Source organism: Homo sapiens, chromosome 11 (assembly GCF_000001405.40).
Source record: "Homo sapiens chromosome 11, GRCh38.p14 Primary Assembly".
NCBI lineage: Eukaryota > Metazoa > Chordata > Mammalia > Primates > Hominidae > Homo > Homo sapiens.
The window spans coordinates 69,805,626-69,829,845 of record NC_000011.10 but is presented as its reverse complement, the minus strand read 5'-3'; the positions used below and the strand labels follow the sequence as shown (position 1 = coordinate 69,829,845).

The following is a 24,220-nucleotide window of genomic DNA, read 5'->3' as shown; positions in this document are numbered from 1 at the left end:
GGAGGCTGAGGCAGGAGAATTGCTTGAACCCAGGAGGTGGAGGCTGCAGTGAGATCACACCATTGCACTTTAGCCTGGGCGACAAGATTGAGACTCTGTCTCAAAAAAAAAAAAAAAAAAGAAAGAAAGAAGAAAAAAAGAAACAGTTTCTGAATAAATGGATTAACAGGATGTGCACTTTTCATGGTATATTTTCTGAATTGTTTGTATTTTCCACAGTGAACATAGATTACCCTTATATTTAAAAAAATGGCCTTGGGAAATAGAGAATTCATACAACTCTATGAATAAAACCTTCTAAATTGCATGCCTTCAACGGGTGAATTTCATGGTATGTAAATTACATTTCAACAAAGCTACCGTAAAAACAAAGAGACTTGCGTCTTGGCCTGGAGGAAAGCTCCCAGGTTTTGGCCCTAGGGAAGTGCCCCTGCATGCCCAGCACACGCTGGGCAAGGTGGGCACCCCAGACACTGGGCCGGGCACCAGGACTGAGCAGCAAGGACCCCATGTCTTTCTTTGCTGTAGTGCCAAGTTATGAAAACATGGCTCTGTCTCAATACAAGAAAGAGTGTATTGAAAAGCTCATCAGCAGCGGTAGAGGTGCAGCTGAGAAAATGTCAGTTTCACAAAAGCACCTGCCTAGCCAGTGGGCGGGGACCTTGCCGTGGGGCGAAGTCCAGGCCCAGTGGCCTGGGGCTTTCTCTTTGGCTTTTCCTGGGAGCTCCATTCTAGGGGACTCATGCTCTCCAAACTCCTTTGTCAGTCCCACACTCACAGTAGGGGCGGTAGGACGAGGCCTTGGACCCTCAGAAGAATTCTTTTCTAGTCCTGTTCTGGTTTGGCCAAAGCCTGAGGCCCCAGCACCCTGGAGACAGGTAGGTGCAGGCCCTGCAGGTCAGGCAGAGAAAGGGTTAAGGCTGCTGCAGTGGGGCTGGGGGAGCCATGGCTGTCAGTTTGCAGGCAGGTGTGGGACAGGGCCTAGGCAGGCTCTTTCCCTGGGTGACAGGCAGGCAAGATCAAAAGCTGTTGGGACAAAAGGGGCTGAGGTGAATTGTCCTGGCCAAAGGCAGGGCACTCTGGGACAGTGTGCAGCCCAGTCAGGCCTCAGACATGCACCCCAGAAGAACCCCCACCCTGACAGCAAGCACCATGTGGGGGTCAAAGGTCGGGGTGTTTGGCTTGGATTACGGTGCCTGCCTTTCACCCAGAGCAAGAAAGCCAGAGAGCAGGATAAGAACCTTCCGGATTGGAACTGCCAGGAAAGGCTCCTCTGTGAGCCACGGCTAATGAAAATGTCATTGTGGCTCAGAGACATTCTTTACATTTGTGTGCATGTCCCCAAGAGAGACACACGGCACCTCTAAATAACCCGGTAAGGAGATTCGCCAAGGAACAGCCAAGCCAGCGTTTTCCGCCAGCCTAATGACGGCCCCAATGAGTTCAGCCTTTGTTGTATAATCTGTTGCTAAAAGGATTTAAAATTCAAGAAAGAAAAATGTTAGGGCCAATTAGCTACGTTGTGCAGGCCTCGATGTCTATGTGGGCCCCAAGCTCCTCTCTTGAAGTCAAGTGGGGGCTTTGCTTAAGCCCGTCTGCCCATCAGACCCCAAGCTGGACCCAATTGATCTTTCAGAGTCAGATTTTGTTGTGTAACATGGCGTGGGAGAGAAGGTCTAGGAGCTCAGGGCAGGGGCCCCGAGAAATCCTTCCCAGTTCACTACTTACGCTACCGACACACAGGGAAAAGGAAGGCTTTTATTTCTCCCAAGATGTCAGTTTAAAATACATCTCCAGGCCGGGCGCGGTGGCTTAGGTCTGTAATCCCAACACTCTGAGGCCAAGACAGGAGGATTGCTTGAGCCCAGAAGTTCAAGATCAACCTGTGCAACATAGCAAGACCCCGTCTCTTAAAAACAATTTTAATTTAATTTAAAAAATAAATAAAATAAATCTCCAGGGTGGCCCCACATTGTTCTGGCATTTCTGCTCAGAGGTCTGTGCTGATGACGGCAAAACATGATGATGACGGCCATGGTGTCAAATTCCACTGGACATGAATCCAGCTGCACGGTCCCCACACTATGAGCCCTTGCCTGGGCTTCAGCCTTCACATCCGTTCCTGGGTAGAGCTGACGCCAGAGGAGAGAGAGATCACATACTGAGGACAGTCCTGGTCTCTTGTAGTCCTGTCTGGGCCTTGCAGTGAACACCCTGCACACCAACTGGCTTATTCGTCACCAAAGGAATCCCTATTTGCAGTAAAAATCAAGTCAATAGCAAAATTAGTACCAAAGGCTCAAAGAGAAAAGTTCTCCCTCTCACCTCTTTGTATCCTTACTTCCCAGAGGTGGTCATTCCTACCACTGCTTGCCTATCTTGCAGAAGGGCCCTGTGTATAAATCACATGTGTGGGCTGGGCACAGTGGCTTACACCTGTAATCCCAGAACTTTGGGAGGCTGAGGCGGGTGGATCACCTGGGGTAAGGAGTTCGAGACCAGCCTGACCAACATGGAGAAACCCATCCTCTACTAAAAATACAAAAATTATCTAGGCGTGGTGGTGCATGCCTGTAATCCCAGCTACTCGGGAGACTGAGGCAGAAGAACTGCTCTAATCTGGGAGGCGGAGGTTGCAGTGAGCAGAGATCATGCCACTGCACTCCAGCCTGGGCAACAGAGCTATACTCTGTCTAAAAAAAAAAAAATCACATGTGTGAATACCAACAACAGCAGCAAGCACTGATCTGGTGTGTCCTGCTCGCCGGACACTGTCCCAGCTCTTCACCCATATGGATTCATGTTGGCCTTCTGAGAGCACTGTGGCACGTTCCCATTTTACAGATGAGGACATCGAGGCCCAGAGAGGTTACTATGCCCAAGTCCTCACAGGTCATACATGGCAGAATCTGGATTCTAACCCAGCAACTCACACATGGGAGGGCACTCTGGTTGCTACCGTGTTGTTTCCCTTCCTGGCCACCCTGATCACGACTCCGGCTGTCTGCTGTCTCGAAAGCTTCACAGCGCACCCTTGTATGGCCACCAGTCTCTGACGGGAGGGTTCTTTCTGGTCTGAAATCCTGCTGAATGATGCTGCTTGTGCATATTTCTTTATAGACTCTGTAAGATAAAGTGTCAGAGTGTCAGGTGTGGCATTCCTCAAGCAAAAGGCATTGTGATGGACACTGTCATAGTCACGGCCCAGTGCCCCCTGTGATGATGGCCCTGGTTTGCACGTCCCCTCACCCCCATCTCTGCAGAGACAGGCTCAAGGCCCATTCTCGGTCTTTTTAGTTGCCCTGATGGTTTTATCTATTGGTTGAACTCGTTCAAGTTTGAGAAGTGCCTGGAATTAGCTCTGTGCTTCCGAGGAGTTCTTTCATGGGCGATTTTCTAGTCTATCATTTTTCTGGAGTTCACCAAATCAAATTTTGCAGAAAGCCTCCGGCATCCCTACTGAAAGGTCTCCAAGTGGGTCATGCCACCCTGCCAGGGGGTGAGAGGGGATGAGGCTGCTTGTCCCCGGCCACCCTCTCCCTCTTTGTCGGGATCTATGTAAGGACCTTTCTCTCTCCATGTTTTCACTCAAATGACGGACATTTTCAGGTCAGGGATGCCACAGAGGTTTCATGCAATTGTTCCTGAAGCATCTCAGGGACTCTGGGCCAAGCCCTGGGGAGGGGCCAGGAGGAAAGCAGACTCCGTCCACCTGCTCCAGAGCTCACAGCCGAGGGCTGGGGGTGGCCTCACAGACGCCTCTTGATGAGGAAGGTGACTGTGCAGTGCAGGAGGCTGAGGGAGCCGGGAGGAGGACCCTGGCCCAGCCAGGGCAAGGGGGTTTAAGGACCCCTCCAACCCCGAGGAGAGACTCTCTTAGCTGCATCTGGAAGGACAGGAGGAATCTAAACAAGCCAAAGGTTTGGAGGAGGAGAGGGAGCAGTAGCTGCAGGCAGTGGTAACAGTCCGTGCAGAGACCCCAGAGTGGGGAGGAGCCGGTGCTCACTGGGAATGTCCGGGTCACAGCAGCTGCTCAAGGCCAAGGGTGGGCCAGGAGGAGCTGAAGAGATGGACAGGGCCCAGACCATGCCCAAATCCAAGCAAAGAGCATGGGCTTCACCCCAGAGATGAGGGGCTGCAGCCCTGCCTCAGAAAACAGAAGGACGCAGCACACTCACGGTGACTCACCCCCATGTGGCTGGAGGCGAGGGAGCCTCCTGAGGCAGGGCCAGGGCAGCCGTCAGGTGGGTGACGGCAGGGGTCTTGCCATGGTGGGCACAGGGGCTGCATACAGCTTACTCAGTGACAATCGAGTCCCTGGTGCCAGCCTCTGGAAGTCTGGAAGTGAGCAATGTTTCCCATTAAGGAAAGTGTGTGGCCGGCCATGCCCCCCAACGTTGCACACTCACTGCCTTTGCAGGGTTGGGGCTTCCAGTCACAGGGTCCCATCCACGTACCAGCCCAGGTGGCTGCAGAAGGTCCCTCGCAGTCATGAAACCAAGGGAGGCTTGGGAAACCACATCTGAAGGGCATGGCTTTGATTTAGTGAGAGGGTGGGGCTGGGCTGGGCAAGGCCACCAGGTCTGAGTCAGAGCCAGAGGCAGGAAGCTGGTCCCCAGGCACTGCCCGCCGCCTCTGCGATGCAGTCCTCCTGGCCACCTGAGAACAGCCTGTAGAGAGGCAGTGGCGTCTTTCGGACTTCCTCGAGAGTCCCTGCAGCTTGGGCATTGATGGCCAGTCACCGGGGCTGCAGGACCCTGAGCTCACACAGGCCCGGCCGGGCCAGGCCAGGACTTGGCCCCAGAAAATCCCTCCCTGGAAATTTCTTGGGAGTTATCTCAGCTCTTCGGCCCCTTCCTCAGCTCAGGGAAACAGGTCAGAGCACGCTCAGTCCTGATGCTAGAAGTGGGGTGCACGCTCAGTCCTGGTGTTGGGACTGGGGTGCGCTACTCTGGGACTTGAGAAAAAGTCCTGCTTGTCCTTTAAACTTAGAATAGGGGTTGGGCACAGTGGCTCATGCTGGTTGTCCTAGTGCTTTGGGAGGCTGAGATGGGAGGATCGCTTGAGCTCAGGAGTTTGAGACCAGTCTGGGAAACATAGTGAGACCCCATCTCTACAAAAAATACAAAAATCAGCTGGATATGGTGGCACATGCCTGTAGTCTCAGCTACTTGGGAGGCTGAGGCAGGAGGATCACTTGAGCCTGGGAGGTGGAGGTTGTAGTGAGCCAAACTCTAGCCACTGCACTCCACCCTGGATGACAGAGTGAGACCCGGCCTCAAAAAAAATCCAGTAACTTGGAATTGATATCAGAGGCTGACAGCTGTAGGAGCGCTTATGCAGGGTAAGGAATAGAGCAGAAAATGGAATCTGGGTGGTCCTGGACCCATGTGCCACCACCCCCAAGATAGACCATGCATACCAGGGCCCATCAGTCCATCGATGCTGGCTCCTGTGATTGTATTTGTAGCACTCCTCAGCCTCCCCCAGTTGTAGGCGGCTGAATGAAGGCCCCAGCAGCGCAGCCCCTTTTTCCTAGCAGACACAGGAGCCTCAAAGCAGCACCGTGATGGTTTAAGGAGAACACAGAACATGCAGGTGTGGAGGAGGAACATCCTAGACTGGGAGTGGGTAGCCCGGCACTCCTCCCTCTATCCCCACCTCACCATCCCTGCCTCCTGCCCACTGTCCAAGTGTCCTGGCCACATCTCGCACAGGTCAGCACAGGGGAGAGGTAAACAAAGCCTGCCTGCCCTCTAGAGCAAGCTGCCCTGCCTGAGCTGCTGCTGACGAGAAACAGGCCTAGGTATCAGGGCAGCATGGAAGGAGCAAAGGCCAGGGAGGCCAGAGGAAGAGACTCGCTCTGCCTGGGGTGTGGGCCCCTCCAGGGGCCGGGGCCAGGTCTGCAGGAATGGCAGGAGCTTCTAGATGGAAAGGGTGAAAGGGCCCCCAGGTGGAGGGACTGGCCTGGGCAAAGGGTGGAGAGGGGTAGGGGGGTGCAAGGCAGGGACACAGGGTGATTGCTTGAGTGTGGGTTTGCCACCACAGCTCCCCATCAAAGCTGCCACAGCTCCCCATCAAGCCTGGCCTCGCCCAGCTGCAGTTGACTTCATGGTGGGAGGAGGTGGGGATGTGAATTTCTTCCCTTCCCTCCACCCCACCTCATCCACAGGACTGGGGGTGTACCTCATCATTTGCACTTGTTTTGGGCGGAACTGTGTCCCCCAAGATTTGTATGTTGGAACCCTACTCACTAGGACCTCAGAATGTGGCTGCAATTGGAGCTAGGGTCTTTCAAAGGCGATTAAAGTAAAGCGAGGTCTGTGGAATGGCCCCAGTCCAATCTGACTGGGGTCCTTATAAGAAGAGGTAATGAGGACACAGGCACACACAGAGGGACGAACCTGTGAGGACACAGGGAGAAGATGGCATCTACAAGCCCTGTTGGCTGCTCTGCCTGGAGCCCGATGCCAGGCACTGACAGGCACAGGCTGCCCTCGGTGTTGTGGGGAAGAAAAAGAGCAGCTGGAGGTGTCTGTCCCTGGGCCAGGGGGCCCTCTGCTCCCTCCTCTCCTCTACCCAGAGAGAATCCTCCTTTATGTCTCAGCTTGGGGCTCCAAAATAGCCAAGTAGCCAGGAAATAAGGCGAACATCCATCCATGGATGAAAAATAAACAGCATGTGGTCTGTGCACACGACGGAATGCCACTAGGGCAGAAAAGGGGAGGACACACTGGCACACGCCACACCGTGGATGAGCCTCAAAGTGCTGCGCAGGCCCCACTGCGGGGAGATGTGCCTTCCATCCCACCCCTGCCTGCGGGGGCTCCTAACTTTGCCAGAAGCAAAGTGCCAGCTTTGCCCCAGAGGGACTTAGAGGGGCAATGGTTTCCCTCTCCCCACTGCTCGGGTCCTGGGTCCCGTAGCCAGAAGGGGCATTCCAGTCTTCTCGCCTCATCTCCTGGCTGTGTGACCCCGGGCAAGTCACTTCACCTCTCTGAGCCTCCCTTTCTCATCTGTAATGTGGGGCTGATCAGGGCTGCTCCCAGAATTTCAGGGACCCATGGTCTCCCAGTGACACAGGCAGGCTGGGTCTCTCTCCCACTGCTCTTGGGGACAAGGATGGGGTAAGAGGATGGGGGGGCAGGCAACATAATTAGAGTGAGTTTGGGGCTGGGAGTCAGCATCACATCTGACAGTCCCTGGCCAGCCACCTGCGGCCACACCATAGGACCCTGTTCTCTGCCCTCTCTCCACCCCAGCTCTCTCTCCAGGGGAAGAGGCTAGGGGCAGACTCAGGTACCAGATAGGGCTGGGGGTGCTCTGGGGGACAGGGTCCCAGTGCAGAGGTTCGGGGGATGCTGGTAGGAGCACTTCTGCTGGGCCTGGGGTGTCCAGCCTGGGCTCTGGAAGAGACCAATTAGTCAAATGACTACAGTTGACCATTTGGAAGCAATTAACAGGGTCGCTATTAGCGCATGGTGCACCCCCCGCCTGGCTCCGAATGGGAGGGAGAGGGGCGAGGTTGCCATTATGTGGGTGCCTCTGCCCCACCCCACACACAAGACTTTGTGGCCCAGCCCCCTGCCCCTGCCGGGCAGATGTGGAGGAATCAGGTTCCCCTCCCTTGGCTGGGCCTGAGGGTCCCAGAGTCCCAGGGTGGGGGTCTGGGGGGCTTCCTGGGCTGGAAAGATCAACAGGTTTAGATGAGGAGGAAGAACTCAATAGGTGGGTGAGCAAGGGCCTGGAGGCGCAGCCCAGAAGATGTGGGAAGTGAACTAGAGGTCCACGCGGGTGGGTGAGCATCCCCAGGGTTCCCCCAACACTACGGCATTTGTCAGAGGGGCTGGGGCAGCTGGAGAAGGCAGCTTTGGGCTCCAGACCACTTCCCGTGACTGCAGGGTGGACCGCAGATGGAAGGACCGGGCTGAAGGCTGTCGCCAGCGACCGGAGGAGAGAGGAAAACTTGGCCCAGAGAGCTTGGCTGCCTCGGAAAAGTCATGCTTACCAGAACAGCAGACAGTGAGCCAGGGCCACCAGGAGGGACCTCAGGCAGGGCACCGGCTGTCCTGGTATAACTGCAAATTGCGCCCTCTTTCACTCTCAAAGGCAGCAGGGTTTGCGTCATAAACTGTGGTCCCCTGCGGCTGGAGCATGCCCTGCGCTGATGGGAGGCCAGAGGCTTTGCAGAGGTAATGCCACTCAGTTTCCGGCCCTACCTTTGGGGCATCACACACATGAGAAACCAGTATCTCAGGAGCGACACTACACAGCCAAGGCCTCGTGGCAGGAAGTGGCCGAACCATTCATTCATTTTAGGAGTATGCACTGAGTGGCTGGTGTGTCAGGTTCTCCCTAGGAGCTGGAAACCTCTTGCCCATCCCCTGAGCTTCCCTCCTATAGAGGGGTCACCTTTGGACTCCTGCTTCAGGGCAGCAGCCCCTGCCCTCATCTTGGGTTCTCGGGCACACGGCAACCTGGCAGTGGGCAGGGCTGGAGACCAGAGCCCGGGAGTTTCCCTGGGAACTGCTGGGGGCCCCAGGTGTAGAGCAGGAGGGGCATGGACACCCAGATTGCCTTGGTCAGATTTTTCTGGCTCCTCCCAGTCCTCCAGAGGGGGTCCTGCCAAGGAGGCAGCCGGAGCCTTGACAGGAAAGGGCATCGGAAGTCCCCTGGCCCCAGCAGGCTGCTCTTGCTCTCTCTCTCTTAAAACATTATTGTGTCCTCTCTCCTCTCTCTGTCAGACTGTGCCCCCTGACTGCACCCCTCTCTGAATTTCTTGTGCACCCCCCACCCCCGCCACTACATCTCCTCTCTTCTTGGCCAGGTGTCAGGAGGTAGCAGAGCTAAGGCATTTAGAGCAGCGACCTCCTTCCTGTGCCTCTTCCATGCCTCTTAGGGAGCCCAGGTGACCACACATCCCAGCCCAGGCCTGCACAGGGCTGCACTGGACAAGCTCTCCTCTTGCTGCTGTCCTTTGGGGCTTTCCTGTCACCAGCCTCTGACCCCTGTAACACAGTCTCCATCAAGAGTCTGAGGCTCCAGTAGTTCAGTGGCTGGCCTCTGGCCTGTTCAAGGACTCTCACAAGCTGGCCCTGGGGCAGCGGCTAGGAGACCCTGACTAAGACTGAGGTGCTCGGGGATGGCTTGGGGGCGCCCTCCTTCAGGATGGCCACCTGGACCCTGTGCACGCTGGAGTGGGCTCACAGAGGACACACTGCCCTGTGTGTATTGGGCCATGGGAGCTGGACACGTCCCAGGGGTGTGTGCTCACTGCCACAGCTCATGGTGCCCTGCACACTTGCCTGACCCCAAACCCTGATGCAGATGGCAGGCTGGGGAATGTCAGCCCACCCAACTCACCCCAGAGCCCCTGGTCAACTTGGAGCCAAAGCTGTGGCCTAGACCCCTGGACTCCACAGCGTGCCCTCCTCTGGGGCAGGGTTGAGAGAAGCAAATCCCCTGTGCTGGCCCCTGCTTCCTGCTGGCCCCAGGACCCTGGGGGACAGAGGACCAGGAAGCAAGAGAAATGGGTGGGGACATGGCTTTTCCCGATACTTTTTGAAGCCCCTCTTCACTGGGCCCCCTGAGATACACCTTGACCCCCACACAGTCCAGGGGACCACCTGGGCATCTGCACTGATTCAGATCCTCCAGGCCAGGACTCCCCCACACCCATTCCCAGCTTCTACCGGGTTCCTCTTGTCATCACCCACCCGCTGTGGCTACCAGACTCCCTGTGCTTTTCTCTGGGTGTTCTCCGCGGCTCTGTCTTCTTTCCATCTCCCCTGCCTCCTCTTTTTGGCGATCTCTGTCATTCACATTTTCCATGTCTTTCCCGTCCTTTCCTCCTCCGTTTCTGTCTGTCTCTATCTGCATCTCTTTCTCTCTAGGGCTCTCTGTCGGCGCCCACTTCTCTGGCTCTCGCGTCCCTCCTCCCGCCTCCCCAGGCCCCTCTCTGGACCGTCACTGGGACGGGATCCTCCGAGGCCTGCCAGACGAGAGCTAACCCCACCACTCCGGGTGCCCAGTTGGTGTGCGCAAAAGGAGATAGCATCTCCAGACCCGGCCTGCCCCGCGCCTTGCAAGGCTGAGGACAGCGCCACTGCTCCTGCAGGAAGCGCCGGGCGCAGACACAAACCCGGAGCTCCCCACGCGTGCCCGCGCCCCGGAGCCTCCCTGCCGCCGCCCTCCGCGGTCCCCTTCATTATGCGCCGCCTTTAATGGGCGTTTGTCAGCTCGACTTCCCCGCAAGTTGTTTTCACGGACATCAGTCATCGGCGGCGGCCCCATTGTGCAGGGGGATTGATGGGGAGCGGGAGGGGGTGACAGGGCCTGGGGCGGCCTCCTCAAGGCCTCGGTCTATAATTTTCGGAGGCATAATTGGTCTGGGGGAGGGGGCGGGGGAGGGGCGGGTAGGGGACCTTTCAGAGCCAGGAGGGCTTTCGGGGGCGTGGGGCGCGCTGCGGAGCGGAGCCGCGGCTCGACGGCGGTGCGCTGGCGGCGAGTGTATGCAGACGGCGCCCGGCCCGAACCCCGAGCCCCGCGGGGCTCCCCACCCGCCGGCCTCCCGCCCCTCCCGCGCCTCCGCCTGGGGACCACGTCGGCCTTTTGTTGGCGAACCGTCCTTTCTTTCAGCGCTTTGCGCAGCAACGGAAATTTCATTGCTCCTGGGTGGAAATTAAAGGGACTCGCGTTCCCTCTCTCCCTCTCCCTCTCCCACTCTCCCTCTCTTTCTCTCTCTCGCCCACCCTTCCCCCTTCTTCCCCCACCTTTCCCGCGAAGCCGGAGTCAGCATCTCCAGGCGCGGGATCCCGCTCCGAGCACCTCGCAGCTGTCCGGCTGCCGCCCCTTCCATGGGCGCCGCGCTCGCCTGCAGCCGCCGCCGCCGCGGGGCGGGCGCGATGCCACGATGGGCCTAATCTGGCTGCTACTGCTCAGCCTGCTGGAGCCCGGCTGGCCCGCAGCGGGCCCTGGGGCGCGGTTGCGGCGCGATGCGGGCGGCCGTGGCGGCGTCTACGAGCACCTTGGCGGGGCGCCCCGGCGCCGCAAGCTCTACTGCGCCACGAAGTACCACCTCCAGCTGCACCCGAGCGGCCGCGTCAACGGCAGCCTGGAGAACAGCGCCTACAGTGAGTGCCGGACGCTGCGGGGCCCCGGGGGAAGCGGCGCCGGGAGGGGTCGGGCCCGGGAGAAGGCGCGCTGCGGGGCCCCGCGGGGGAGGCGGCGCCGGGGAGGGGTCTGGCCCGGGAGAAGGCATGGTGCGCCCGGGGTGTCCGGGAAAAGACCGTCTGCCTCCCGCTGCCAGAAGGGGAATGCCAGGGTGCCCTCCTCAACCTACACGTCCGGGAGAAGAGCGCGCGCTGGGGTTCGAGCAGAACTCGGGGGCATGGGCGTTCACGTCCGAAGAGGGCGCCGGCGGCTGTCAGAGTCCGTCCCCGGTCCGGCCCGCTGGTCTGAGGGGACGCGAGCTAGGCGACCCCGGGGCTCCAGGCTCTGCTGCTTTGGGCAGCTCTGACAAGTTTAAGCCCTTTGAATGTGTCGGAGAAAAGGAGCCGGACAAGGCATTTATCATCCTCTTTATTATTTTGACGACTTCTCCTCCTCCTGCCGACCCCTGGACGCCCCGCCGTCCCCTCCGCCCTCCCCGCTCGCGGCTGCCCAGGTGGCCGCCCCCGCTGCTGCCTCTGCGCGGAGGACTCTTGCCCTGCGGAGCTCGGTTCCCTGGCCGCGGCCGCCACCGACAGTTATTCCCCGCGCTGGAATCTGCACCTCCCCCGCCTCCGCCCTGGCCGCACAGCGACAGGAGGGTGGAGGCCCTCGCCGTCGGGACGTGCGGATCACGAGCGCGGAACGGTGTCCGCCCGGGCCTGGGGGTGCAGACACACACACTCCGGCCCCCGCACGCAGGACCCGCGGCCCGGGCTGCGCTCACCGCGGGAGTCTGCCGGACTACACGGTTGGGCTCCTCTGGTCACAGGGACCTGAGGCCCGCGCCGAGCCCTTTGAGGAGCAGGATAGCGGAGCTCAGGGCCCGGGAGGACCGCGTGGGGAGCGTGGGAGGGCAGTCAAGACCACAGCTGTCCTCGGGTGCTCCGCGCGGCGCTCGGCTCCGGCCCCGGGCGCAGGAAGCGGTTCCGCCGCTTGAAGGTGGCGGCGGCGGCCTCAGCAAACCGCGGCTTCCTCCAGGAAAGCCGCAGCCCTGAGAGGGCGTCCTGGGGACATGCGCCTCCGGAGCCGCACGGTGGGCACCAGCTGTCACCAGGGGGTCCGAGTGCGCGGAATTCGTCTCACTAAGACACTCCGGTTCTCTCCAAAGCCAGGCTCCCCCTCGGAGTCGCACAGCATCCAAACTTCTTGGTGTAGGCTGCTCACGGGGAGGGGAGGGCGCGCGCCCGCAGCCGCCCCTGTCCTGCGTCGAGACTCGTGCTTCGCTGGTCCCCGGTCAGGCACCGCCGATGCCGCCCAGCCTGCGCACTGGGAAGGCGGGAGGCTCGCAGCCTGCACCACAGCACCCCTGGGCTGGAGCAAAAGCCCGGTGGTGACCGCGTCTGTGCTCGGACCGCGTGCCAGGAGGGCGCTCCTGAGAGGCATGCCTTGGAGAGGGTGCAGGCAGTCGCCCCAATCCCCTCGCAGCCTCTATTGGGAGACAATGACCCCAACCCGTCCTTTGATGTAGTCCCCCGCCCCCAGCCCCCACCACAGCACTCGTGTATCCAGAAGGAAAGGCGGGAGGGGAGATTTAAACTTTCTTATCCCTGGGGAGTGGGTGAGACCCGTCCAGCTTCCCTCTGCGGGCTCCAGGGTCTAAACTGGCTTCCTGCCCTTCCAGGTCCCCCGGCGAGTACAATGATCTCCCGCCAGGTCTATTGCCAGCATGATCTGGGTGGCAGGCACCCTGGCTGTGTTATTGCCAGTGGTTTATATTATCAGCCTGGCTCATCAGGGCCCAGCTTTCCCGCTGGCAGGCACAGGCATTGGGGACCGTGCAGTCCCAGAGCTCAGACTCCCATGGCTGCCGCCAGGGCTTGATTTCCCGCTCAAGCACATGTGCAGGGGCCTGACAGTCACCCAGCCATAGTGGTCCCCACTTGCTTGTCTGTCGGATGATGATGGCAGCTGGCAAGGTGTTGTGAGGCTCGAATGAAAGCCAGGGTGCAGGCAGCGTCAGCAGGTGGGAATGTTAATTTCATTGTTACCCTCCCAAGTTTGAATGAAGAGAAGCCTTCCCTGATGTTCCCTTCTCTACCTCCTGTCCGGTGACTTCTCCCTTCCTGAACTTCCACTCACTCCCCGACCTGTGGGGTGTGTGCTACCCTCCCCAGCCCTGAGCCCGGGGTGTGGCTTTGGGCAGGGCCAGCTGGGCCTCAGCCGCCCCCTCCGTGGGGGCGGCGGGAGTGAGGCACCTCTCATTTCTTCTAGGTATTTTGGAGATAACGGCAGTGGAGGTGGGCATTGTGGCCATCAGGGGTCTCTTCTCCGGGCGGTACCTGGCCATGAACAAGAGGGGACGACTCTATGCTTCGGTGAGTCCAGGCTGTCACGTGGGTGGGCGCTGACGGAGTAGCGGTCTGGCCTGCACATCAAGCCAGGGGACGGGGGATGTGGGCAGTAGAATGCTTTGCCAAGGGTACACGGGACCCAAGCTAGGACCAGACCCTGGCCCAGGGCTCCACGCCCAGTGATCTTTGGCTGTGTCTGTTAGAGGCTGCTCCGCGAGTGACCTGGAGCCTGGCCCTGGGGGACCTGGGATCTGGAGAATGCCAGGTTAGCAAAGGTTTCCCCCATCCTTGTCATCACTACCACCCTCCCTTGAGAGTAGCTGAGAGCAGGGAAGTGATTGTTCTCCAAATTTCCACCAAAATAAATGGACCCAAGACAACCTGGGAGTGTTCCTTGGGGCAGCCAGAGCTCTCCTGGGAGCATGGAGAGGAGGACGCTGGCCCAGCTCCACCGGCTCTCTCCAAGGGTGGAAAGGCGAGAGCTGAAGCCTAGGAGGGGAAGGGGGATGGCGCCCATGTCCCGGGCACACAGGAGCCTTGGAGCCCTGGCTTGGGACCCAGTCTATCTACTGCCTGGGCCTCCGTGTAACCAAAAAGGGTCTCCTTACTCTGTGGGTATGGCAGCGCCCCTCTTCATAAGGGGTAGGGGTGGGGAATACACAGAGTAAAATACATGTCACAGGGAAATTTGCTACCTCCAACTAGTCATTACATGCAATTTGGCTGATACTTCCTTGGGCAATGAGAGGTTTTCCATCCATGAGTAGCCTGGCTGACGCGGCCCAAGGACAATCTCCCTGCAGTGAGCTCTCTGCTCAGTCCTGCTCACAGAGGACACATCCCGCAGCTCCCTCTCGCAGAAGCTGATGATTTCATCACAGATTTTTAGCCGTTTTGCTAAAGGAAGGTCCAGAAAGCCGGGATGCGCCCCTTCATTTTCTCTGGTCCAGAGGCTACTCCCTCCTTCCTCCCATCCACTCACCCATCCACCCATCCACCCATTCACCCATCCACTCATCCACCCATCCACCCATCCATCCATCCACTCATCCACCCATCCACCCATCCATCCATCCACCTATCCATCCATCCATCCACCCATCCACCCATCCTTCCATTTACCCATCCACCATCCACCTATCCATCCATCCATCCACCCATCCACCCATCCACCCATTTACCCATCCACCCATCCACCCATCCACCTATCCATCCATCCATCCATCCATCCATCCACCTATCCACCCATCCACTCATCCACTCACCCATCCACCTATCCACCCACCCACTCACCCATCCATCCACCCACCCACTCACCCATCCATCCATACACCTATCCATCTGACATTCAGTCCATTCATCAGTCAGTGTCCTGGAAGCTGTGTCTGGGAGCAGGGGCCCTCATGGTGCCAGCTTCTGCCATAGGGGAGCCAGGATTTGGAGAGACAGAATAAAGCATGACATGAGGGGGTCCCAGTGGTTCAGAGCCCACCTGGGGCTTCCGTGCCTGAGAACTCACAGCCTGGCTTTGAGAAGGGTGGACAGAGGCTCCTAGCCCCACCAGGGATGCTTAGCCAAGCAGTCTGGCTGGAGGGTGTGGAACTTTCCAGAGTGCCCAGTGGAGAAGTTCCCATTGCCCTGCAGACAACCTGGGAGGCATAGTAGCCTGGATGCCAACTCCGTCACCTGCCACCTGCCACCTGATACCACAGTCCTGCGTGCGGCCAGCTTGCCTAGGAGTGCTGTCCCACCACGGGGCTCCCTGGACTTTGCCGGCAGCATGCTTGCCCTCAGGCCAGCTCATCTCACTGTGGGCCAGTGAGCACTGCACCCTGACACTCCTGGTCTGGCCCTGACCTCCCTTCTGAGGTATAGACCACCCTCCCCCAACATCCTGCTGACTCAGACACTCGAACCGAACTCAGCAGCTCCCCGACTCCCCATCTTAATCATCGCCCCACCAGCCACTCACTCTCACCCAGAGTGGGCTGGGAGTCATGGTAGACCCCTCCTGCTATTCAGTCCATCCCTAGTCCTCAGACCACGCCCCTGCATCTCTTCAGCCCACACACCTCACCTCCCTCTGCCTCATCCCTGAGAGCACGCCTTAAAAGGCAGGCTCATCACTTCCCACCTGGATCACTGCTCCAGCCTCTCCTACCTCCAGTCCATCTGTTTGTCAAGCCATCCATCCATCTTCCTTCCTTCTTTCCCCTTCCTTTATTCTCTTCACCCATCTGTCCATACACCTCTCCTTCCTTCCTTCTTTCCTTTCTCTCATCCTTCTTTCCATCCATCCTTCCAACCGTTCATCTGTCCATCTGCCCATTCACATGTCCATCCGTCCATGCTCCCTCCTTCCTTCCATCCTTTCACCCATCCACCCATCCACCCATCCACCCATCAACCCATCCACCAATCCATCCAGCAATCCACCCATCCATCCAGCCATCCACCCATCCATCCATCCACCTATCCATCCATCCACCCATCCATCCAACCAGCCATCCACCCATCCACCCATCCACCCATCCACCCATCCATCCATCCATCCATCCATCCATCCATCCATCCACCCATCCACCCATCCATCCATCCAGCCATCCACCCATCCATCCATCCACCTATCCATCCATCCACCTATCCATCCATCCACCCATCCATCCATCCAGCCATCCACCCATCCATCCATCCACCCATCCACCCATCCATCCATCCATCCATCCACCCATCCATCCATCCATCCACCCACCCATCTATCCATCCATCCATCCACCCATCCATCCATCCATCCACCCACCCATCTGACATTCAGTCCTTCGTTCACCAGTCAGTGTCCTGGGCACTTACCATGTGTTGCACTCTGCTAGTGCATGTTAAAGGGGCTTCCTAAAAAAGCAAATCAGCCCAGTTCATGGCTTCTGAGGACTCCCATGATGCGCAGGCATCCCCCAGGCACCTTAGCTCCACCCACAGAGCAGCAGCCCAGGTGCCATCTGCTCCCAGGGGGGCTGTCATCCAGAGGTTGAGCCTCCTCCGGCTTCCGGAAGCCCCCTCAACTCTCCAAGCCATCTGTACTGCTCAGGCCACACCTTCACTGCCTGGAACGCCCTCCTCCAGAAAATGCCCATGAGAAAGTGCCCGCCCCGCCCTTACAGCTCCCTTTAGAAGTCACCTCCTCAACAAAGCAGCTTCGGAGTCGGCTTCCTCCCCACCCTTCATGGGGTGGAAGCGGCCCTGGGGGAGGGGCCTGTGGAACCAGGTCTGGTGGGGCGGCAGTGTCAGGACACACATTGGAAAGTGTTGTCACAGCGAGTCCCAACTGCAGTAGCTCTGGAGTCTATGGCCCTGGCCCCTGAGCCAACACCTTCTGCCCTGGTCATCTTGGCCACCCCAGGTGCCCTACCACGTGTCAGCAATTGATCTACACTGCCCCCAATCTCCCACCTTGGGAGAGCCTGAGCCCCCTGCCACCTGAGGCTCACAGGCACCTGTCCTTCAGTGACCCACCCCTCAAGTGGCCCCCCAAAGAGAAAGCCTATTTCCTGGCCTCTCTGGCCCTGAGAGGACTCACCTGCTGCAGGATCGAGGGACCTGGGAGAAGCTTGGGTCCTGCCCTGAGCTTCTCACAGTCTGCCATGGGAGCCAGACACTAACATGGTGTACCCAGTGTGTGGGGTGGGGAAGTCGGCCCTGAGCCCACCCGCTCATTCCCAGATAGTCGCTGAGCCCCAGGCTATGTGGGGGTCAGGCACAGATCAGACACTGTTCTATCCCCTGTAATGTAGGGCCTGGCACCACCCCTGGGCCTCAGTTTCCCCATCTATAAACATGGAGACCGGTCTTGGATAGTAACATCCAGACTGTGGCCCAGGGGGCACTGGGCCTCCAAGAGGGCTGGAGAGCAGGGGGGCTTGGGGTTATGGGGAGAGGCAGCCCCTACCACCAGGTCAAGCCTTCCACCCTTCCCTGCTCTGGGCTTTCATGTCGCTGAAAAACAGGATGGGGTGCTTGAAGCATCTTGTTCCCTGAGGTCCTGCGAGGTCAGATGCTGCTCGGTCCAGTCTGGGAGCCTCTGGAGGCCATTTCCACTCTCTCTCTCTGCCACGGGACACCACACCCCAGATGGGGACAGACCATGAGGGCCTCCGACTCCTCCCTGCGGCCAGTCCCCAGGAGGAAAGAGAGATCCTGCTGTCTGCCTTGCACCTGCTGCTTCCACCTCCCACCACCCTTTCTGGTTTGGAGGGAGCAGCTCCTGTCAGTCATCCCCTGAGGGAGGTGGCCCTAGGCATTACCACTTGCCTGTAGCTGGGACTGAAGCCTAGTGGGTCTGCATAAGGCATACCCACCTCTTCCCTACGCCACAGACTAAGAAGACCCCATGAGGCAGCCCTTGAGGGAAACTCCCACGGCCAAGTCTTGGGGATGTTGGTGTAAGCTCCTTCAGTTCAGAGCTTCACTGTGCCTTTGAGAGGGCAGGGTCCCTTCTGCCCTTCCCCCACTGCACCCTGGGCCTGACAAGGGTCCCATTAATCTCTGATGACAAAGAGGTGTCCTCTCTGTCCTGCTTGTGGTGGGACACCCCAGCTTCTGCTCTCATCCTAAGAACAGCAGTATCTGTGGCACTGATTGATCATGTGCCTCATGCCAGGCCCCAGCCCCTGCTCTGTGTTGTAACCTCTTCAACCTGCAAGGCGAGATCCTCCAGCTTAAGAGAGTGTTGCTCAGGGGTCAATGACCCCAGCTGGGGCCCCTGAGCGCAGCGTTTAATGGAGAGTCTGGGCTCATCAAACCTGGCTGTGTCCCCTTCCCTTCCTGCTTTTTGTGTTCTTTCTTCTTTTTTCTTTTCTGCAATTTCTTTTTTTTTCTTTTCTTTTTTTTTTTTTTTTTGAGTCAGAGTTTTGCTCTTGTCGCCCAGACTGGAGTGCAGTGGCACAATCTCTGCTCACTGCAACCTCTGCCTCCCGGGTTCAAGTGATTCTCCTGCCTAAGCCTCCCAAGTAGCTGGGATTGTGGGCGCACGCCACCACACCCGGCTAATTTTTTTGTATTTTTAGTAGAGACGGGGTTTTGCCATGTTGCCCAGGCTGGTCTCGAACTCCTGACCTCAGGTGATTCACCTGCCTCGGCCTCCCAAACTGCTGGGATTACAGGCATGAGCCACCGTGCCCAGCCTCTGCAATTTCTTTAAAAGAGATCTGGGTGTTGTCATCTTCCTTTGTCCAAATGCCCAGTCCTTGCTGACCTCCACACTGCCAGCAGACTGCCAGGGCACCTGGGTTGGCCGGCCTGGTCTCTGCTCCACAGACAACCCTACACATCCCTTTGCTGTGTCAGCGCCCTCAGATGGGGGACAGAGGCTGGTGGAACCCAGAGAGCAGGAGCTGGGAGTTGTCTGGCACAGCTTTGAGTGAAGGTGACCTTTAGGCAGAAGGCCAAGTTCACCAGGCACACAGGGGAGGAAGGACATGCTGGGCAGAGGGCAGGGCCTAGGCAAAGGTGTGACTGGCTGAGAGTGCGCTGGGGTTTGGCACTGGACCGAACAGCCTCACAGGAGGGGAGGGAGGCATCAGGCAACCCTGGGCCCTGACGCTGCCACAGTCTCCCCGGGGCACTGACCATGATATCTCATCCCCGCAGGAGCACTACAGCGCCGAGTGCGAGTTTGTGGAGCGGATCCACGAGCTGGGCTATAATACGTATGCCTCCCGGCTGTACCGGACGGTGTCTAGTACGCCTGGGGCCCGCCGGCAGCCCAGCGCCGAGAGACTGTGGTACGTGTCTGTGAACGGCAAGGGCCGGCCCCGCAGGGGCTTCAAGACCCGCCGCACACAGAAGTCCTCCCTGTTCCTGCCCCGCGTGCTGGACCACAGGGACCACGAGATGGTGCGGCAGCTACAGAGTGGGCTGCCCAGACCCCCTGGTAAGGGGGTCCAGCCCCGACGGCGGCGGCAGAAGCAGAGCCCGGATAACCTGGAGCCCTCTCACGTTCAGGCTTCGAGACTGGGCTCCCAGCTGGAGGCCAGTGCGCACTAGCTGGGCCTGGTGGCCACCGCCAGAGCTCCTGGCGACATCTTGGCGTGGCAGCCTCTTGACTCTGACTCTCCTCCTTGAGCCCTTGCCCCTGCGTCCCGCGTCTGGGTTCTCAGCTATTTCCAGAGCCAGCTCAAATCAGGGTCCAGTGGGAACTGAAGAGGGCCCAAGTCGGAGCTCGGAGGGGGCTGCCTGCAATGCAGGGCATTTGTGGGTCTGTGTGGCAGGAAGCCGGCAGGGAAGGGCCTGAGTGCCAGCCCTGGCAGACTGAGGAGCCTCCCAGGAGCAGCGGGGCAGTGTGGGGCTTTGTGTCATCACAACATTAAAGTATTTTATTCTACTCTGTCGTTTGGTAGACCGTGATGCAGGCTGAGGAGCGCTTGCCGCCTTTACTGGAACGTGCTTGCTTCCAGCACAGCAGAATCCGCGCTGGCATCAGCCTGCGTCAGCTGCTGCTTTAAGAGGAAGACGGCATTCCCAGAAATCGGGCTAAAGGTGCATTTCAGTTCCCTGGTTTTAGAAAGTTACGTTTTTTTGGATGGTTGGAAACAAGCAAAGGCATGTTTGTGCATGTGTGTGCATCGTGTGTGTGTGCGTGGAGAGAAGGATCGTGTATTTCTGAAAGCGTGAGTGTGCATGTGGGTATGTGTGATCTTGTGTTAGTGGTACCTGTGTGAGGACATGTATGTGTGTGTGTGTTTCTGGGTGTGTCTGAATGTGTGATGTGTGTGTGTCTGTGTGTGTGTGTGTGTGTGTGTGTGTGTGTGTGTGTGTGGAGAGAGAGAGAGAGAGTTTACTTTCTTTGAAAACTCTAAAAAGCCTCTCCCTCTGGAAGCTGTGTGCTTCTCCAGGGACCCTTTAGAGCAACTGTGTCAGGTCAGGCAGCACAGAAACTTCCTTTATCCTTACAACCTGCTCTTGGGGCCCGTGCACCCTGTCTTTACCTAAGAAGGTGAGGCTCAGAGAAGCAATTACTCAGTGGCCGGGCCCTGCCTTGGACTAGGTGCCTCCTCACACCTGTTCCCCAACAATGGCATGGGTGGAATCACCTGGGCCGGCCCAGGTGAGAGCCAGCATGGGCAGTGTACTAACCTCTCCTGGCACTTGGCAGGATGGGCAGGGTCCAGGTGAGGAGGCTCTCCTGAGCCTGGGACTGTGAGGACCATCGCTCTCTGTTCCCATGCCCTCCCAGGGGTCAGAGAGCCCAGACTCAGAGAGCCCAGGGTCAGAGAACTTAGGGTCAGAGAGGCCAGAGTCAGAGAGCTGAGACTCAGAGAGCCCAGGGTCAGAGTGTCCAGGGCCAGAGAGCTTGTGGTCACAGAGCCCAGACTCAGAGAGCCCAGACTCAGAGCCACCTGATTGGTTAGTGCAGACTCGCCAAACCCACAGGGAGGCTGGGCTCCTCCCTGGCACGTGTGCAACACAAGTGAAAATCTCGGTGCCTCCTTCAGCCCCCAGCGCATGTCAGATTTCCCGGAATGGCTCCCCTGCAGCTGCGAACATTCCTGGCAGTCAACAGGAGCAGCACGCAGCTGAGCTCTGCTGTGGGTTTTGTTGTTTCTCTAGAGTGAGATGGGGCAGGGGCTGCCATCACTCCCTCCTTGCAGATGATGACCCTGAGTCCTGGCAAGGGGAACTTGCCCGGGGCTGTGTCAACACAGGGGAAGCAGCAGTACTCAGTGCTGCAGGATCAACAGATGGTCCCTGATGAAGGCGTAGGAGACACTGGGGGCTCTTGTTTAACATGTAAAACAGCTTTGACAAGAGAATGTGGATTTTTCGCAGCTGATGGCTGTGCCATGGTCACCTTCTTCCCCACACCAGAGTCCAAGGGACTTCATTTTGTGTGTGTGTTTGGGGGGTCATGGGCTGAATTATGTCTCCTCCCCAGAGTTCATCTGTTGAAGTCCTAACCCCTAGTAACTCAGCATGTGACCTTATTTGGAATAGGGTCATTACAGATGCAACTGGTGAAGATGAGGTAACATAGGAGTAGAATGACCCCTGAATCCATTGTGACCAGGATCCTCCTTAAGAGACACATGGGCACAGCCGTGCACACAGGAGGACGCCATGAGAGCGTAAAGGTGGGGACAAGGGTGATGCTGCTACAAGCCAAGGAGTGCCAAAGTTTGCCAGCAAACACCAGCAGCTAAAGGACAAGAAAGGAACAGACTCTGCCCTATAGCCCTGAGAAGGAGCCAACTCTGCCGACACCCCAGTCTTGGACATCCAGCCCAGAGTCCTGCAGATGATAAATGTCTGTTTGAGCCACCTACCCTGTGTGGGGCTGTGTTACCACAGCTTGAGCATCAGGCACAGAGGGCAAGGGGCCTGCTGGCCTCCAAAAGGAGAGCGACCCCGCTTCTGCTGGATGAGGGGAAGGGGAGAGAAGGCGGGCCCCAGGCTGAGAGCGTGGGCTCCCTGGGAGGGGTCAGAGGGTGCCCGCTGCTTCCGGTGCCACGGTGGGAACTCCTGCTTCCTTACACACAGGAGGGGCTGGGGGCAGGTAGAATTCTCCTGAAAAAGAAAAGGGTATGGGGGTGAGAGGGTCCTGGGACCCAGCACCCATCACTGTTAGATGGTTCACCTGCTCCACGTGTGCTCAGGGCGGGCAGTGCCTGGAGACCGCACACCTGTGGCTCTGTGGGAAGATGCCCTCTGAGTCAGGAAAGGCCGCCCCAGGGGCTCCAGGGACAGTGGCCTCCCTACTTGCATTTGCGTCACCCAGAGGGAATCGGAAGGGAGAGAAAGAGGCTGAGCAGGTGGGGCAGGTCTTTGCCTATTGAGTCTCTGGGATTTTGGGTCCAGAACCTGTCAGGAGTAGGAATGGAAAAATTATGCAGTCTATGAAAAATGGTACGGTGGCTCCTCAAAGCACTAAACAGAGAGCTACCATGTGATCCAGCAATTCCATTTCCGGGCATATCCCCAAAGAAATGAAAGCAGGATCATGGATAGATGTGTGCACACTCATGTACATAACAGCACCATTCGCAGTTGCCTGGGGGTGGAAACAAGCCAAGTGTATTAGTCAGGGCTCTCTAGAGGGATAGAACTAATAGGAGATATATATATATATATCCTATTATATATATATATCATATATATTATATATATATCTCCTATATATATATAAAAAATATGTGTGTGTGTATATATATATGTATATATATATAAAGGGGAGTTGATTAAGTACTAACTTACACAATCACAAGGTCCCACAGTAGGCCGTCTGCAAGCTTGAGGAGAAAGGAGAGCCAGTCTGAGTCCCAAAACTGAAGATCTTGGAGTCAGATGTTTGATGGCAGGAAGCATCCAACATGGGAGAAAGATGTAGGCTGGGAGGCTAGGCCAATCTCGCCATTTCACGTTCTTCTGCCTGCTTTGTATTCACTGGCAACTGGTTAGGTTGTGCCCACTAGATTAAGGGTGGATCTGCCTTCCCCAGCCCACTGACTCAAATGTTAATCTCTTTTGGCAACACCCTCACAGACAAACCCAGGATCAATACTTTGTATCCTTCAACCCAATCAAGTTGACAGTATTAACCATCACACCAAGAATCCATCAGCAGAGGGATGGATGTATAGAATGTGCTCCATCGATGCAATGGAATGCCATTCAGCCTTAAAAAGGACAGACATGGCTGGGCGCGGTGGCTCGCGCCTGGAATCCCAGCACTTTGGGAGGCCGAGGCAGGCAGATCACCTGAGGTTACCCGAGGCAGGCAGATCACCGAGGTGGGCAGATCACCTGGCCAACGTGGCAAAACCCCGTCTCTACTAAAAATACAAAAATTAGCTGGGCGTGGTGGCAAGTACCCGTAGTCCCAGCTACTCAAGAAGGCTGAGGCAGGAGAATCACTTGAACCCAGGAGGCAGAGGTTGCCGTGAGCTGAGATCACACCACTGCACTCCAGCCTGGGCGACAGAGGGAGACTCCATCTCAAAACAAAACAAAACAAAACCCACAGGCCAGGTGTTGTGGCTCACGCCTGTAATCCCAGCACTTTCAGAGGCTGAGGCAGGTGGATCACCTGAGGTCAGGAGTTTGAGACCAGCCTGGTCAACATGGTAAAACCCCGTCTCTACTAAAAATAAAAAATTAGCCGAGTGTGGTGGTGGGTGCCTATAATCCCAGCTACTCGAGAGGCTGAGGCAGGAGAATCGCTAGAACCAGGGGGGCAGAGGATGCAGTGAGCCAAGATCACGCCATTGGACTGCAGCCTGGGCAACAAGAGCGAAACTCCATCTCAAAAAAACAAAAACAAAAACAAAAAACAAACAAAGAACCCACAAAAATTAGCCGGGGTGGTGGCGTGCATCTGTAGTCTCAGCTACTTGGGAGGCTGAAGCACGAGAATTGCTTGAACCCAGGAGGCAGAGGTTGCAGTAAGCCGAGATCATGCCATTGCCCTCCAGCCTGGGCAACAGAATTAGACTCTGCCTCAGAAAAAAAAAAAAAAAAAGGAAGGACATTGACACATGCTACAACATGGGTGAACCTTGAGGACATTGTGTTGAGTGAAAAAATATGATACAATTTTACTTAGATGAGATTCCTGAAGTAGTCAAATCCAGAGAGACTCAAAGTAGAACGGTGGGTGCTGGGAGCTGGGGGAGGGGAATGGGGAGTTAGTGTTTGATGGTGAGACAGTCTCAGTTTGGGAAGATGGAAAG

At 57.4% G+C, this 24,220-nt stretch overlaps 1 protein-coding gene and 1 long non-coding RNA gene across 2 annotated transcripts, besides 12 other annotated features; one reads left to right on the top strand and one right to left on the bottom strand.

Moving 5' to 3' along the window:
* Positions 1–1,738: 1,738 nt before the first annotated feature.
* LOC107984368 (uncharacterized) lies at positions 1,739–11,138 on the bottom strand. The gene is made up of 3 exons (XR_001748071.2): positions 10,773–11,138; positions 2,934–3,123; positions 1,739–2,252 (listed from the first exon to the last, which is right to left on the bottom strand). It is a non-coding gene; the product is annotated as an uncharacterized LOC107984368 (long non-coding RNA).
* Positions 3,531–4,211: an enhancer, noted in NCBI's record as "H3K4me1 hESC enhancer chr11:69640403-69641083 (GRCh37/hg19 assembly coordinates)". NCBI's record gives its function as "activates a minimal SCP1, AML or CMV promoter by ChIP-STARR-seq in naive H9 embryonic stem cells {active_cell/tissue: H9 hESC(naive)}" and the evidence as "EXISTENCE:reporter gene assay evidence [ECO:0000049][PMID:30033119]".
* Positions 4,212–4,892: an enhancer, noted in NCBI's record as "H3K4me1 hESC enhancer chr11:69639722-69640402 (GRCh37/hg19 assembly coordinates)". NCBI's record gives its function as "activates a minimal SCP1, AML or CMV promoter by ChIP-STARR-seq in naive H9 embryonic stem cells {active_cell/tissue: H9 hESC(naive)}" and the evidence as "EXISTENCE:reporter gene assay evidence [ECO:0000049][PMID:30033119]".
* Positions 4,212–12,306: a biological region, named in NCBI's record as "FGF3 5' regulatory region". NCBI's record gives its function as "regulatory_interactions: FGF3".
* Positions 4,267–4,708: a promoter, noted in NCBI's record as "NcoI/XhoI fragment; NcX". NCBI's record gives its function as "drives expression of reporter gene; orientation dependent activity" and the evidence as "EXISTENCE:reporter gene assay evidence [ECO:0000049][PMID:10749884]".
* Positions 4,342–4,942: a DNaseI hypersensitive site, noted in NCBI's record as "HS1; the nucleotide coordinates are approximate for this feature". NCBI's record gives the evidence for it as "EXISTENCE:in vivo cleavage assay evidence [ECO:0001075][PMID:10749884]".
* Positions 6,320–7,320: a DNaseI hypersensitive site, noted in NCBI's record as "HS2; the nucleotide coordinates are approximate for this feature". NCBI's record gives the evidence for it as "EXISTENCE:in vivo cleavage assay evidence [ECO:0001075][PMID:10749884]".
* Positions 7,914–8,714: a DNaseI hypersensitive site, noted in NCBI's record as "HS3; the nucleotide coordinates are approximate for this feature". NCBI's record gives the evidence for it as "EXISTENCE:in vivo cleavage assay evidence [ECO:0001075][PMID:10749884]".
* Positions 9,648–10,648: a DNaseI hypersensitive site, noted in NCBI's record as "HS4-HS5; the nucleotide coordinates are approximate for this feature". NCBI's record gives the evidence for it as "EXISTENCE:in vivo cleavage assay evidence [ECO:0001075][PMID:10749884]".
* Positions 9,978–10,815: a promoter, noted in NCBI's record as "BamHI fragment; BB". NCBI's record gives the evidence for it as "EXISTENCE:reporter gene assay evidence [ECO:0000049][PMID:10749884]".
* Positions 10,421–10,567: a promoter, noted in NCBI's record as "AvaII/NaeI fragment; E0". NCBI's record gives the evidence for it as "EXISTENCE:reporter gene assay evidence [ECO:0000049][PMID:10749884]".
* On the top strand, positions 10,430–19,878 carry FGF3 (fibroblast growth factor 3). Its single transcript, NM_005247.4, has 3 exons — positions 10,430–11,132; positions 13,423–13,526; positions 19,146–19,878. The coding sequence occupies exons 1-3, from the start codon at positions 10,913–10,915 to the stop codon at positions 19,539–19,541; spliced, it is 720 nt and encodes a 239-aa protein (NP_005238.1). The 5' UTR covers positions 10,430–10,912; the 3' UTR covers positions 19,542–19,878.
* Positions 10,806–12,306: a DNaseI hypersensitive site, noted in NCBI's record as "HS6; the nucleotide coordinates are approximate for this feature". NCBI's record gives the evidence for it as "EXISTENCE:in vivo cleavage assay evidence [ECO:0001075][PMID:10749884]".
* Positions 12,370–12,890: an enhancer, noted in NCBI's record as "H3K27ac-H3K4me1 hESC enhancer chr11:69631724-69632244 (GRCh37/hg19 assembly coordinates)". NCBI's record gives its function as "activates a minimal SCP1, AML or CMV promoter by ChIP-STARR-seq in primed H9 embryonic stem cells {active_cell/tissue: H9 hESC(primed)}" and the evidence as "EXISTENCE:reporter gene assay evidence [ECO:0000049][PMID:30033119]".